General features: G+C 41.9%; 1 protein-coding gene across 1 annotated transcript in view, besides 1 other annotated feature; it reads left to right on the forward strand.

Annotated features, from left to right (window-relative positions):
- The window catches only part of PRDM1 (PR/SET domain 1), a 117249-nt gene that overhangs the window by 12279 nt on the left and 89659 nt on the right, over window positions 1-15311 (forward strand). The window lies entirely within an intron of this gene.
- Window positions 9905-10621: an enhancer, noted in NCBI's record as "NANOG hESC enhancer chr6:106462748-106463464 (GRCh37/hg19 assembly coordinates)". NCBI's record gives its function as "activates a minimal SCP1, AML or CMV promoter by ChIP-STARR-seq in primed H9 embryonic stem cells {active_cell/tissue: H9 hESC(primed)}" and the evidence as "EXISTENCE:reporter gene assay evidence [ECO:0000049][PMID:30033119]".

Consider the following 15311-nt stretch of genomic DNA (forward strand, 5'->3'; position numbering starts at 1 on the left):
TTCCTCTTCTAGTACATGATTCTTCTAATAATGTAATACATTTACAACAGGTCTGATACCTTTAATTCTCCAGTTCTTTCACACAGTTAAGTGCTTGCTGCAATCTTCTTAAGGCTGAAAGAATGACACATTCAAGAAGTCTTTGACAGTGTTTAAACACCTCTTATCAAAACTTAATTTCCATGAATGATTGATTTTGGCACTTGATGGAAGGCTGAAGAATGTTCAATTACCCCATTTTCATGTGCTAATGAAGCCGAAAGTGACTTAAGAGGATTTCTTTACACTGTGGCAGCCTGTTTGGATATGCACATGACTTCTTAGGTTTCTCTCCCAGGGTTTGTCTCTACTAAATAGTTGTCTTATTGAGTAACTGTAGCTAATCTGTCTGCTTGGCCACAGGCCTTGGCCTTCCTCTGTAGAGTGGACTGTAATTAGTGAAGCTGTCAACCAGGTGTTTAATTTCAAGAGAACTTATTTTGTTCAAATCTTCCAATAACTTGCCAAATCAATCAGGTTTAGATTTTCTGTTTGTTCACGAGCACTCCTTGAATTTTGAGTAAAATGAATATGGAAAACCTTTTAAACTAGGAAAAAATGCAACTTTCAATTCGAAACTTTGGGTTTATAAAGCTTGACTATGAGTTTCAATTTTTCACACATTGCGCTAGAATTATCATTAAAACACTTAACCTAAGCTTGGCTGGAAATATACGTATCAAATTGAAGAATTTCCTGCCCTGTTTTTTGACAAGGGATGGCTGAATGAGGAAGAAGAAAAATTATACTGTAGGAAAATACATAAGACTCTCCCCACTAAAATACATGCAGTTCATGGGTTTAAATTTTGATGATTCTGCTTCATGTTCTTGCATAATTTTAGTGTTAGAAATGAGAAAACTTTACGGTTAGATATCCTTCAGCCTTGTGATCCCTTTCAGTTTATAATCCTGTGGATCCAGAAAGGTTATTTCTCCAGCATCAGAAGACATCTGAGGCTTGCAGTAAAGTCACAGACTGGTTTTGTGACTCTAGATGAGGCACTTCTAGCCTTTTCAGTTCAAAACAACGATAGTCCTCATCCAAACTGCTCCTTACTTTCTCACAGCCTCCACTTCCTTCTCACGAAGGTGTCCGATTCCTCTGAGCATGGAAAGTGCTGTATTCTGGGGACAGCAGGAACTTGTTTAGATTGAGGCAAACATGCTGCGTGTAAACACTTAATGCGTGTGTTCTAGCAGACTCAGCCAAGACTGATGGATGACTTCTTTTTTCTTTTTCCTCCCTTATATGGATGGTAGGACTGACTTCTCCAGATAACAACTGAGTTGTTGATTAGTGACTTTTGGTATAAACTTTACTTTCGTAGTAAGGAGGAAAATATGTCAAGGAAAGAAGCAGCTCTGTTTCCTCCACAGACCCCTATCTAATGAGCTTGCAATTATGAGAATTTAATACATTAGTCTCGTGGGGTGAACCTAAACTCTACATTGAAGCTTGAGATTCTCAACATCATTTAACATCAGATAGCATTTTATCGTCTCCCTTTGTATGTAGAAGATACTTTCTCTTTTCCTCTACCCTCCCAGGAGTTATCTCCACCTCATCTCCTCACCAAAAATAGATAAAAATAAAAAGAGGGAAGAAAATAAGACCTTTGCCAGATACCATCAAAGTATCCTCAGGGTTTGGGTGGTACACATAACGAAGAAATTACTTCCTTCTTTCCAGTTTTTTGAGGTGAAGGCAGTGTCCTGGCTGGTCCATGCTCCACTCAGGCATGGTGCTGTAGTGGGAAAAGAATATTGAACTGGAAGGCAGCCATGTTCCTCATGGCTTCTCTACTTTGACAACAGAGCAAAGTTATCTCATCACCCTGGGGCTGGGGGTATCACAGTAAGCTTAAAAATGTCTAAGGTCTCTTCAAACTCTCTGCTCAGTGATCGTTTATGGCACTTGTGTGTAATTTGGAAGGTGTACTAAGACATGGCAACACACTGCACTCAAAGTCATGCTTATTATCTGCAGCATCCCCATTGTATTTCATTGGGGCTTGGTCACTATCACATCTGACTTGATTTCTCTTCCTTCTGAGTGATTTCTCTCTCATTTTTCTTAGTTTGCTTCCTTACCATTCTACATGTTCTTTAGGAGTTGGTGAACCCAAAATTATTTGAGACAGGCCAGGCACAGTGGCTCACACCTGTAATCCCAGCACTTTGGGAGGCCGAGGAGGGCGGATCACGAGGTCAGGAGTTCGAGACTTGCCTGGCCAACACGGTGAAACTCCATCTCTACTAAAAATACAAAAATTAGCCGGGTATGATGGTGGGTGCCTGTAATCCCAGCTACTCAGGAGGCTGAGGCAGGAGAATTGCTTGAACCTGGGAGGTGGAGGTTGCAGTGAGCCGAGATGGCGCCACTGCACTCCAGCCTGGGTGACAGAGCGAGATCCATCTCAAAAAGAAAAAAAACATTATTTGAGACAAAGGCAACTGTCATTTTTGTTACAATACTATTTGAGCAGACCATTCATGTGAAATTATCTACTACTGCATCTTCCAAATTACATGCAACTAAAGATGGGGGTATTGACAACTCGAAAGTTACATTCATAACTAATATTCTTGGTACTTTTAATTTTTTTAATTTCTTAAGACTTTTAAACAAAGCAGGTGATATATAAACTTCCCACATTATTTGGACTTTGCTCTCCTTTACCTAAGAGTTCTCCTGCTGTCATTCGTCCCTTGAGGTTAGCTAACAAGGTCACCTGCCTGCCTACCTATTCTTTTTGCATTGCACTGGTAGCCTTCTTTCTGTTTTCCTAAATGCATCTCCTAACGACTTTCTCCAGCTCCAAGCTCTTCCATCTCCAGTCTTTCCTCCTAAACTTCTTAACCAGTAGTTGGTACGCCCTATGAGGACATGAGCCAGGCCTCTCCTCTTCCCCACTGCACCCTGTGCATTCGCTCAATGTTTGTTCCACGAAAAATGTACCGTTTTGATGAAATCTCTTTTTATCTCCAGAACCTCTAATGGCTTTACATCATGTGCAGACTAAATTTCAGGCATCTTAATCCCACATTTTTTCAAAGCATTTTAAGAAATGGTCCCAGTGGGGCTGGGCGCGGTGGCTCACGCCTGTAATCCCAACACTTTGGGAGGCTGAGGTGGGTGGATCACGAGGTCAAGAGATCGAGACCATCCTGGCCAATGTGGTGAAACTCCATCTCTACTAAAAATACAAAAATATTAGCTGGGCGTGGTGGCGCGCGCCTGTAGTCCCAGCTACTCTGGAGGCTGAGGCAGTAGAATCACTTGAACTCAGGAGGCAGAGGTTGCAGTGAGCCAAGATCGTGCCACTGTACTCCAGCCTGGCGACAGAGTGAGGCTCCGTCTCAAAAAAAAAGAAATGGTTCCAGTGTTTCTCACATGACTCACACTTGTGGAAATCTTCTCCATGTGCCGAGCTGGGGTGCCCCTCCTTAAAGCCTTTCAGTACCTGGGCACCAGATCCCCACCCTTTCACACTCTTTTGCCACAAGTGTCTCCTTTATAACATTTGCGAACACACTGAATATTTACTAAGTGCCTGGTACAGAGGATATAGACAAGATAAGTCAAGCGGCTCTCTAGGATTCTCCTTCTCTCCCAGGACAGGCAGGCAGGAAAGGAGGGCCCAGTCAGACCCCTTCTGAGTGTGAGAGGGAGGGTGGGGCTCTGATGGTGCCCCTTACTGGAAGTAAAGGCAGAGACTAGACACTGGCTCTTTATCCCCGTTTCTCCAGGGCTTTCCCCTGATGCTTTGTCTAAAATAGATGCTTGGTTACTGGCCATTGCCTGTACTGCCTTTGCCTTTCTTCTCTTGTTGGCTTTGTATTCTCCTGTCTCCAGTAACTCCCACCTGGAATGTCTACTCCTTCGACTCTACCTCTAGGAATACTCCCCTTTCCACAAGGTTCAAATCACAGACTATAGTCTTCCCGCAGCGGTGGCCAGGTCCATGGCCAGGCATTGTCTCTGACTCCTAAGACCCCAGCAACTGAACACAGGCCCCTCACGGCAGTGGTTATATTCTGCCACGTTCTATGTCTACCCTTTCGCTCACGCCCCCTTCTGTCTTAGCGCTCTTGCCTCCCTAGAACACTTGCGTAGGGGGTTGTCAGGCTCTTGGTATTGGTTCTCAGCATAAATTTACTTTGACAAAAGATGTTTGAAGCAAGGAAATTGGACAAATTCCAAATGAATGAAATATATTTGAAGTATGTATGTGACAATCAGGTTAATGTTACTCGTGTGCTTCAAAGTGGATTCATTCCAGTTCCAATTTATAGTGTGGCAAATATTTACGTGGATTTTTTAGGATGACTTTCGCTTCCTTTTGGTCCGGAAAGCTGGATCACCCTAGGCTGAAGGAAAAAATGTAGAAAGGTTTTAAATTTACTTGGGTTAGTAGTTAGCATTCCTTAGGCAAACAATTCCCCCCAGGATTATATTTTCATTTTCTCACAACTCTGCTCATTTCAAAAAGTTGCACATATTCAAAGCTATAGTAAAGGGGGGAAAGGGTGTGCAAGAAATCTACCTACATATATACACATGGGGGGAAAACTGTATCAAGGTGGAAACCATAAATGAACAAATTAGGGGTGCATGTATGAGAGAGAGCCCTGAAACCAAAGAAGGAGCTAACTCAGGACGAAAGTTTTGAGCATCCAACCTGAGTGTGATGTGATTATCTTCTCCCTCCTGAATTTTTTTTTTGAGATGGAGTCTTGCTCCATTGCCCAGGCTGGAGTGCAGTGGCATGATCTCAGCTCACTGCAACCTCTGCTTCCTGAGTTCAAGCAATTCTCCTGCCTCAGCCTCTTGAGTAGCTGGGATTATAGGCATGCGCCACCACGCCCGGCTAGTTTTTGTGTTTTTAGTAGAGACAGGGTTTCACCATGTTGGCCAGGCTGGTCTCGAACTCTTAACCTCAAGTGATCCACCTGCCTGGGCCTCCCAAAGTGCTGGGATTACAGACGTGAGCCACCATGCCTGGCCCTTCCTGAATATTTGAGTTACCCCTATGGCAGGTCAAAGTCACTGAAGTCCAGCAGGCACTCTGAGAGCTATGGGGTCCCAAGATGTGCCCAGTTCCCCTCTCTGCAGAGTATGGTAAGCTTGGCGTAGGGCCTCTACAAACTAATTTAGCTTGTGTAATTAATTCTCACAGCTTGAGATACCCAAGAGTCTGACAGGCACTCTTCGACAGGCGTTTCTAATCCTTTACTTACTTGTTTATCCTTGCAGAACCCCTTTTTCAAAGAAAAGCTTACAATGAATCTTAATAAATAGAATATGAATAAATGATAGTTTAATACTACAAATGCATAATCATACATATTTTATATATTTATGTTTAAAGCATTTATTTATTAGGAGGTGAATCAGCTCAACTTTTTTGACTCCCAAACAAGAAATCTATGGTTATGGATGACAGTTATAGCCTTGTATCAGCCCGTGCATCTAATTAAATTCTACATCTTTAGAATTTAATTAAGCATATACACCATGCACCTTATCAAATCAATCCATTTCATGAACATATTGGCCAGTTTGATTCAATTCAACTTAAAGCTAATTGACCTTATCACCTCTATCAGCAAGTTTTCTTTTTAAACTTACTTTTTTAAAAAGTTCTAGTTTTAAGGTCACAGAAGCACCCAAAACTATGAAGTACTAAAACTAGAATTCTCTGAAGCATGACACCGTGGAGCCGTATTATCACCACGTGCCCTGTCGTGTCAGGGGTGCATTTGTTAACTGCACAACTCACTTTTGGCCAAGAACCTGCATGGGGCGATGACCTCGAGCCTTTCCCAGGATGTCACTGAGCTCAACCTGTGGGTACTGGAGATCCACTTAGATAGCTTGAAGTGTGTGGACTTGCTCAGGACTACAGGTTTAAAAGACCAGGGCAAAGCAAGTGTCCTCTCAGTAATGCACATCTGGGGATTTCAGCTGCAGCCACTGAGTAGCAGCAGGACCAGCCTGCAGAGTCCCATTTGAAAGCTCTTGCTGTGGTAGGCCCTGCACCGTTAATCCCCATAGGGTGTACCTTTTCATCTTCATTGTCTTCTCTGATTGTATCTTTTTATCTTGGGGTAGTTTTCTTCTATTTGTTTGTTTTGTTTAGCTTTTCTATTTTAAAGAATTAAATTACATTGCTATAGATATTACCGAAGATGTACCGAAGACTTAAATTTATCACCTTTATAACAATCCCAGAGCTAAGAAGACTCTCTGAGGAACCTCTGTTGCTGATTTGGGCCTAGTCTGTGGAAAGGGCAGTTGACCCTATACTGGGATTTCTTGATGTTGACTGCAGCTATTGTAAACTTATTATAAAAAGGCACTTAGGTCCTTTTGTTTAGTAAGACTTGAACTCTTCAGTCTGTCTCCAGCCTGGGAGAATACCAGGACTTGCCTGGGTCTGTCCAGGTTGCTGGAGGCAGCCTGCCTTCCTGGGGTGGAAGCAGGAAGAGTATGTGCGAGGGGAGCAAGCCTTGGGAGTGTGAGGAGCGGAGTACACTATACCCTCCTCCCTGAGGGCAGTGCCCAGACAAGTGGGTGAGAACCCTTCATTCCCTCCTGCCTTCTCACCCCCCGCCCCCTGCAAAGCTGCTTACTGTGGTGCAAGGAAAAGGAGTTGGAGTCCGAAGTCCCAGGTTAGTGGTATTGCCAAAGCGGGTGGCTTGGGAGTGGTTCAAGCTCACCTCAACATTCAATTTAAATGAAGACTGTGCTGGTGGCCAAGTTCTTACTCTCAGTCAGCCTCCTGCCTCAGTCACTCACATACACACCCCCACACATTCACACACATGCCACACGCAAACACAGTACACAAGTACCACAGCAGACACACACCACACCCCTTCACATTCACACACTATACACACATACCACACACACCACACCTCTCCACATTCTCACACACCACACTACACACACACACAAACATACCACACACACCACACTCCTCCACATTCACACACACCACTCATACAAACATACCACACACACCACACCCCTCCACATTCACACACCACACTACACACACACACAAACATACCACACACACCACACCCCTCCACATTCATACACACACACACAAACATAACACACACACCACACCCCTCCACATTCACACACACCACACTACACACACACACAAACATACCACACACACCACACTCCTCCACATTCACACACACCATTCACACAAACATACCACACACACCACAACCCTCCACATTCACACACACCACTCACACAAACATACCACACACACCACATCCCTCCACATTCACACACCACACACACACAAACATACCACACACACCACAACCCTCTACATTACACATACCACACACAAAACATACCACATACACACATACACAAAAAACATACTACATACACACAAACATATCACATGCATATCACACCCCTCCACATTCACACACACACACACCCCTCCACATTTACACACATACCATACTACACACATGCACACACTGGCATACCAGCCCCACACACCCAACACTCCCCACACACATCCCACATCACACACACCACACATATTGCATGTGTTGCAAACATACACCATACATTACCCCCCTACACACTCAGCCCACTATTATACTTGCTTTGCAGCTGGCAACTCCCCCTCTCCCAGCACCTGCCCCAGATGTGTTCAGGTAAATGGTTTTCTAGAACAACTTCAGAAAACTCGGGAACTCTGAAGAGCGGAACCTGAGTGATACACTCTAGGGAAAAGATTACTTGTTTCTCTGTCTGAAAATGCAGAAAAAGGTTTGAAATTTGTTTTCTGCTTTTTCAGTTTTTAATTTGTCAGATGGCTGAACAGATATGCCATTAGATGTATAAGATTTGGCATATCCTTTTGTGTGTGTGTGAGACGGTCTCATTCTGTCGCCCAGGCTGGAGTGCAGTGGCACCCTCTCAGCTGAAGCAATTCTCGTGCCTCAGTCTCTCCAGTAGCTAGGATTACAAGCGCGCGCAATCACACCTGGCTAATTTTTGTATTTTCAATAGAGACGGGGTTTCACCATGTTGGCCAGGCTGGTCTCGAACTGTCCTCAATCAAGCCAACCTCCTCAGCCTCCCAAAGTGCTGAGATTACAGGTGTGAGCCATCATGCCTGGCCATACTCTTCAACAACAGATCATCAATAATTGCAGTGCTTATCATCAACCTTCCCAATCCCTCTAAAACAGAAATTTTGTACAGGCATCTGCCTAAACTGAGCTTATCCTCATTCACCCCTGCCTGTAAACTGCTTTTTGAACTTTTCTTTTTTTTTTTTTTTGAGACAGAGTCTCTCTTTGTTGCTCGGGCTGGAGTGCAACTGCGTGATCTCAGCTCACTGCAACCTCCACCTCCCGGGTTCAAGCGATTCTCATGCCTCAGCCTCCCGAGTAGCTCGGATTACAGGTGTGTGCCACAACACTCGGCTAATTTTTGTATTCTTAGTAGAGACAGGATTTCACCATGTTGGCCAGGCTTGTCTCAAACTCCTGACCTCAGGTAATCCACCCACCTTGGCCTCCCAAAGTGCTGGGATTACAGGTGCGAGCCACCATGCCCAGCCGACCTTTTCTTAAAGTTCCTTTCTTCTTTTGAGAGTCATTTTCACCAAGAGCCAATATTGTATAGTGCTGCCAAGAGTTCCTGAGGTCCCATAAGTACCAGTAGAGATTCCGCTGCTGAAGTGGCTGCTTGTCCGCTTGGCTAGCCACACTGTCCTCTGCCCTTTCCTCCCAGCCTCTGTTCACTTGCTGGTTCTTCTGCATAGAATTCTTTTCCCCCTAATCTTGTTCCCCTCCCTTTATGGGTTTGGTCACCTCTTCACAGAGGCTTTTCCTGCTGCTCCTAACAAAAGGAGCTTCCTCCTTCCCAATTCCTTTATCCTGCTTTATTTTATTCCTCCATAGCTCTTGTCACTGTCTAAATGTATTTATTTGTTTACTTCTTTACTGTCTGTCTCTCCAACCAGAATGCTAACTCTATGAGGACAAGGAATTTTTTTTTTTTTTTTTTTTTTTGAGACGGGGTCTCTGTCATCCAGGCTGGAGTGCAGTGGTGCGATCATGGCTCACTGCAGCCTCTGCTTCCCAGGCTCAAGCCATTCTCCTGCCTCAGCCTCCTGAATAGCTGGGACCACAGGCATGCACCACCATGCCTTGCTAATTTGTTATTTCTTTGTAGAGACAGGGTCTCCCTGTGTTGCCCAGGCTGGTCTCAAACTTCTGGGCTCAAGTAATCCGCCCGCCTCTGCCTCCCAAAGCGCTGGGATTACAGGTATGAGCCACTGCTGCCTGCCTCAGGACAAGGAATTCATGTGTTTGCCTTGTTCACTGTTGTCTCCAGTGTCTGAAACAGTTTCTAGCACATAAGAAATGTTCAAAAAAAAAAACTTGAATAAAAAGTATTGAACAAAGGACTTGGATGAATGCAAATGCTGAAATGCTCAGGATTTTTTAAAAAATTGAAACCAGATTATTTTAATATATATGATCTACGTTTAATCTATAATGTAAGTCTAAATTTAATCTGTAACAAATGTATTTATTGTACATCAATAAAACGATGATAGATAATAGATTTAATCTATAATATTAAATTAAATATACTATAAATTTATTTAATATTATAATACAGTTAATCTATAATCATCACATTTCTAAATTTTGGATTTATCCTGAGAGATAGAACACATTTTTTTTTATAGAACCTTAAAAGGCAGCTGTTGGCCTTCTGGTGACAGGTGTCTTTCTTTCTTTTTTAAAATAACCAAAGCTGTAAATTATTGTGATCAAAAATAGTTTGGGAAGATGGTGAGCAGGGGTTTTGCTTTGTCTTGCTTGTCTTTCTGTGAGATGGGGGTGAGGAGAGAGAACAAGACACAGGGACATAATAAGTTCATAGAGTTCAAGATACAGCCCCCTGGGATGCCCGGTGAATTTCCTTAAATTTAAAAGAACACAGCCTTGCCCTTGTAGTCTGAGCAGTGGTCATCTGGAGGCCACCCCCAACCAAGGGTTCCCTTTGCTGGGATGGATAACTCAAAGGTGGGGAGGTTGCGTTTCTTCCTTTCTTTTACAAGGTGGTAATCTCTTAGCTGCCTATGGAAATAAGGCTGCTTTGAAAGAGGAGCTTTACACATTGTAAACTTTTCCCCCAGGGCAAGTCAGCCATCCTTAATGCTTCTTGAAGTTAAAATTTCTTTTCTCTCTTCCTCCTCTTTTCTTTCCTTTAAAAACTTTTTTGTTAATGAAGTAGAAAATGAGCTTCTCTGCACTTGTTAAAAAGTGCTACTTGGGCAAAGAAAATGTCTGTCCCTTCTACAAATGTGTAAAATTATCCCGTTTGAGCTTGGCATTTGAAGATTTCAGACTCCTCAAGACTTAAATGAAAGGCAAGGTGCTAAACAATGAATATGCCACCTTTTGTATGAGAAAGAGAAAAAGAGATTTGCTGCTGTTTGCTAAAGAAACACTAGAAGAATAAAGAAGAAAGCAGTAACAATGGTCTCTGGTGGACAGGTGTGGATGTAAGGGGTGGGTGGGAAGGGCATGGGTGGAGACAGGACCGAGGGTGGGACTTCTCCCTATTTATCTGTTTATATCATTCTGATTTTTGAATCATGTAGTGTATTACCTATCCAAAAATGTAAAACAAACATTCTTAAATCCCATCTTATTTTGATCTTTGATACTTGTCTGATTTGTTTTTTCCTTTTCTTTCTTTTTTTTTTGCAGGGAGTAGGGTGTGATTTTTAAAAAATTGTAGTAAAATATACATGACAAAAGTTACCATTTTAACCATCTTCAAGTATGCTATTCAGTAGCATTAAGTTTATTCCCAACATTGTACACACTGTCAACATTATCTGTTTCTAGAATTTTTTCTTCATTCCAAATAAAAGCTCTACTGATTCAACAATAACTTTTCCCCTTCCTCAGCCCCTGGCAACTTCTATTATACTTTGTTTATATGAATTTGGCTCATATATATATGTAAAATCATACAATATTTGGCCTTTTGTATGTGGCTTATTTCACTTAGCATAGCATAATGTTTTCAAGGAACATGCATATTGTAGCATGTATCAGAATTTCATTCCTTTATGTGGTTGAATAATATCCCATTGTGTGTATGGATTGCCACATTTTGTCTATTCATTCATTTGTTGATAGACATTGGGCTGTTGCCACCTTTTAGCTATTGAGAAAAATGCTGCTATGAATCTTCTAGTGCTTTCTTCATATTGTTTTATACTTATGATGTATAATTATTTACATTTATCTTTTTATTTACTTTTTAAAAATTTATATTATTTACATTTATCTTTCCTTCTAGCCTGGGAACTTGACTTGAGAGTAAGGGACATGTAGTATGTCTTATTCTTTCTCGCACCCTGGGTACCCGCAGATTAACAAGCAGGTGTTCAGTTGGCATTTAATAAATGTCTGTCAAATGACTAAATGGTAGATGGAAAATTAGTTTTGAGTTTATTTCATAAAGGACAAAAGAAGATTTGAAAAGTTTATTCTTGAACAAGGGTTTGAACTTTGAGGGTCCATTTATGCACAGATTTTTTCTTTTCTCTCTTTTTTTTTTTTTTTTTGAGACAAAGTCTCGCTCTGTCACCCAGGCTGGAGTGCAGTGGCGCAATATCGGCTCATTGCAACCTCCAGCTCCTGGGTTCAAGCGATTCTCCTGCCTCAGCCCCCGAGTGTCTGTGATAACAGGTGTGCGCCACCATGCCCATGCCCAGCTAATTTTTGTATTTTTAGTAGAGACGGGGTTTCAACACGCTGGCCACGATGGTCTCGAACTCTTGACTTTGTGATCTGCCCGCCTTGGCCTCCCAAAGTGCCGGGATTACAGGCATGAGCCACCGTGCCTGGCCGCACAGATGTTTTTCAAGAAATACGTTGGAAATTTTTTGGAGATTTGCAATAATTTGAAGAAACTCCTAGATGAACCATGCAGCCTAGAAATGTTGAAAAAATTAAGAAAAATGCATTATGAATGCATAAAATATATGTAGATACTTGTCCATTTTTGTGTTTGTTAATTGACTGCTTATGTTATTGGTTCTGGTCAACAGGAGACTATTAGTTAAGTATTGGGGAGTCAAAAGTTATATGCAGATTTTTGACTGCACAGGAGAATTGGTGCCCCAACCCCCTCATTGCTCAATGGACAACTTGTATTTGTTCAGCTCTGTCAGCTTTGAAGAAGTGATCTTGTTTATTTGGAATTAGTTTTAAGTTAAAACATATTTAGATGATAGGAAGTTGCTGTAGAAATGTATCCATTTTCTAAACACAACATGGCAGTCAGAAGGCAATATTAATGAACACAGGCTAATAGAAAACACTCTTGCTCTGTGTGTGTCTGAGTCTGGGTGTGTGACTCCATTGTGAACTGGCCTTAGAGGGTGACCTGCGCACCTCCACCCTACCCTTGCCGGAGGGCACCGTGTTATGAATAAAGCAACTAAGTTTAGAAACAGGCAAAGGGAAGCAGAGGTGGGGTTTTGGGTAAGTTCACACAGTTGCTTGGCCAGTCTGACCCTGGGCAAATGTCCCCTTATCTCTCAATGATGGATGATGCAGCAGCTTTGACCAAACTGAACAATCCCCATTTCAAGACCAGCTGCCCAGTTTTTTTCTTTTTCGGAAAGGGACCCTGAAGGATGTTGATTTAGTGGCATCTCCTCACGGTTGACTCTGTCAGTCATCAGGATACTGTGGAAGCAGGGGCAGATTAAAGGCCAGGCCCACTTTTTGAATGAGAAATAAAGCCTGGGGTGGGCTGAGGGTCAGGGGGAGTGTGGGTGGGAAAGTTCTTTCTTATTTCAAACGTGTGCCTCTGGCTTTTGGAGAAATGATATTGAACATGGTGTACCTGTAGGGCTGTAAAGAACCATACTGATAATCTAGTCCAGCGTCTTGGATTTATTGCTGAGGAAATTAACAGATGAGATTGCTCAGGAGCTTTATATGTGACCATGTAACTAGGAGGCAGAACTGGGCAGATACCAAGACATTTTCATCTGAACCGCTCAGCCTTTATGAAACATCTTGATTTTTTGAGGGCTATTTCCTCAACAGAATACTTTAAAAAAAAAATAAAGCTAGAATCAAAGATATTTGATATGAAAAAGTAAATTTGCTAGTAATGGAACGTATAGTTATTAAAGTAGTTTTGTTAATATAATAATTTATAGTGTGTTAAGTAGACCATAATTTTTTAGAACAGCTTAGATTTACAGAAAAATTGAGAAGCTAGTATAGTTTTCATATTCCCCACACTCAATTTCCCATGTTATTCACATCTTACATTAGTCAATTAATGAACCAATGTTGATGTGTTCTCATTAACTGAAATCCATACTTCATTCAGATTTCCTTAGCTTTTACCTAGTGTCCTTTTTCTATTCCAGGATTACATTGAGGAGATCACATTATGTTTAATGGTCATGTTTTCTTCAGACTCTTCTGGTCTTGACAGTTTCTCTGAATTTTCTGGTTTTTCATGACCTTAACAGTTTTGAGGAGCAGTGGGCAGCTCTATTTTAGAATGTCCTTCAATTGAAATATGTCTTTTTTTTTAAATATGATTAGTCTGGGGTTATGGGCTTTTTGGAGGAAGACCAGACAGGTAAAGTGCTATTTCATCACATCATATCAAAAGTATATATCAACATGACTTATCACTGTCGACGTTAACCTGGATCACCTAGCTGAGGTGGTGTTTTCAGGTTTCTCCAGAGAAAAAAATGACCCATTTTTTCCACCTTTTCATATGGTATTCTTTGGAAGGAAGTTACTATATCCACCTCACACACAAGGAGGAGGGAATTATGTTCCACCTCCTTGGGGACAGAGTATCTACATACATTATTTGATATAGTGGGGTTTTATATTCTAAGAAGAGTGCAGGGCACAGTGGCTCACACCTGTAATCCCAGCACTTAGACCGAGGCGGGTGGATCACTTGAGGTCAGGAGTTTGAGACCAGCCTTGCAAACATGGTGAAACCCCGTCTCTACTAAAAATACAAAAATTAGCTGGGGATGGTGGCACACACCTATAGTCCCAGCTACTCAGGAAGCTGAGGCACAAGAATCGCTTCAACCTGGGAGGTGGAGGTGGAGGTTGCAGTGAGCCAAGATCATGCTGGACAGAGTGAGACTCCATCTCAAAAAAAAAAAAAAAAAAAAAAAAAAAAAAGGAAAGCTTAGAACCTTCTATATGATTTTATATGTTATTTTAATATGTTGTATATGTTATTTACTCATATAAATTTACCCAAGTAGCATCTGAAAATAACATGAATGATTGAAATATAGATCGCTCATACTGAGTTTATAGCTTTTTTCTTCTCCCTATAATTAAAAAAAAAATAGAACTGAAAATTTGATTAATTTGCGTTTTCACTTATCTATGCCAAAAAGAAGCTAGCTAAAAATGAAACGGGGTAGCTGGAGAAGTAGATGTGAATATTTTCTATATTGGATATCAACCCCTAATTAATAAGTGATGCACACTATGTTTCTTATTGACTTGCTTAATTTTTTTCTTTTCTTTTTTTTTTTTTTTTTGAGATGGAGTCTTCCTCGATCTGTCACCCAGGCAGGAGTGCAGTGGCATGATCTCAGCTCACTGCAACCTCTGCCTCCTGGCTTCAAGCAATTCTCCTGTCTCAGCCTCCCAAGTAGCTGGAATACAGGCGCCCGCCACCATGAGCAGCTAATATTTGTATTTTTAGTAGAGACGGGGTTTCACCATGTTGGTCAAGCTGGTCTCAAACTCCTGACCTCAGGTGATCTGTCTGTCATGGCCTCCCAAAGTGCTGGGATTACAGGCGTGAGCTGCCTCTTTCAAAAAAAGGAAGAGCCGGGTGTGGTGGCTCACGCCTATAATCCCAGCACTTTGGGAGGCCAAGGTGGGTGGATCACTTGAGGTCAGGAAGAGACAAGCCTGGCCAACATGGTGAAACCCCATCTCCACCAAAAATACAAAAATTAGCTGGGTGTGGGTGGCGTGCACCTGTAATCCAAGCTACTTGGGAGGCTGAGGCAGAAGAATCACTTGAACCCAGGAGGGGAAATAGAACGAGACTCTGTCTCAAAAAAAAAAAAAAACCCACAAACAAACAAAAACATGAAAGTTAAAAAGAGAGGGAACCAATATTTACTTAGAACCTCTTGTATGCCAGGCGGTTTA

Source organism: Homo sapiens, chromosome 6 (assembly GCF_000001405.40).
Source record: "Homo sapiens chromosome 6, GRCh38.p14 Primary Assembly".
Classification (NCBI taxonomy): domain Eukaryota; kingdom Metazoa; phylum Chordata; class Mammalia; order Primates; family Hominidae; genus Homo; species Homo sapiens.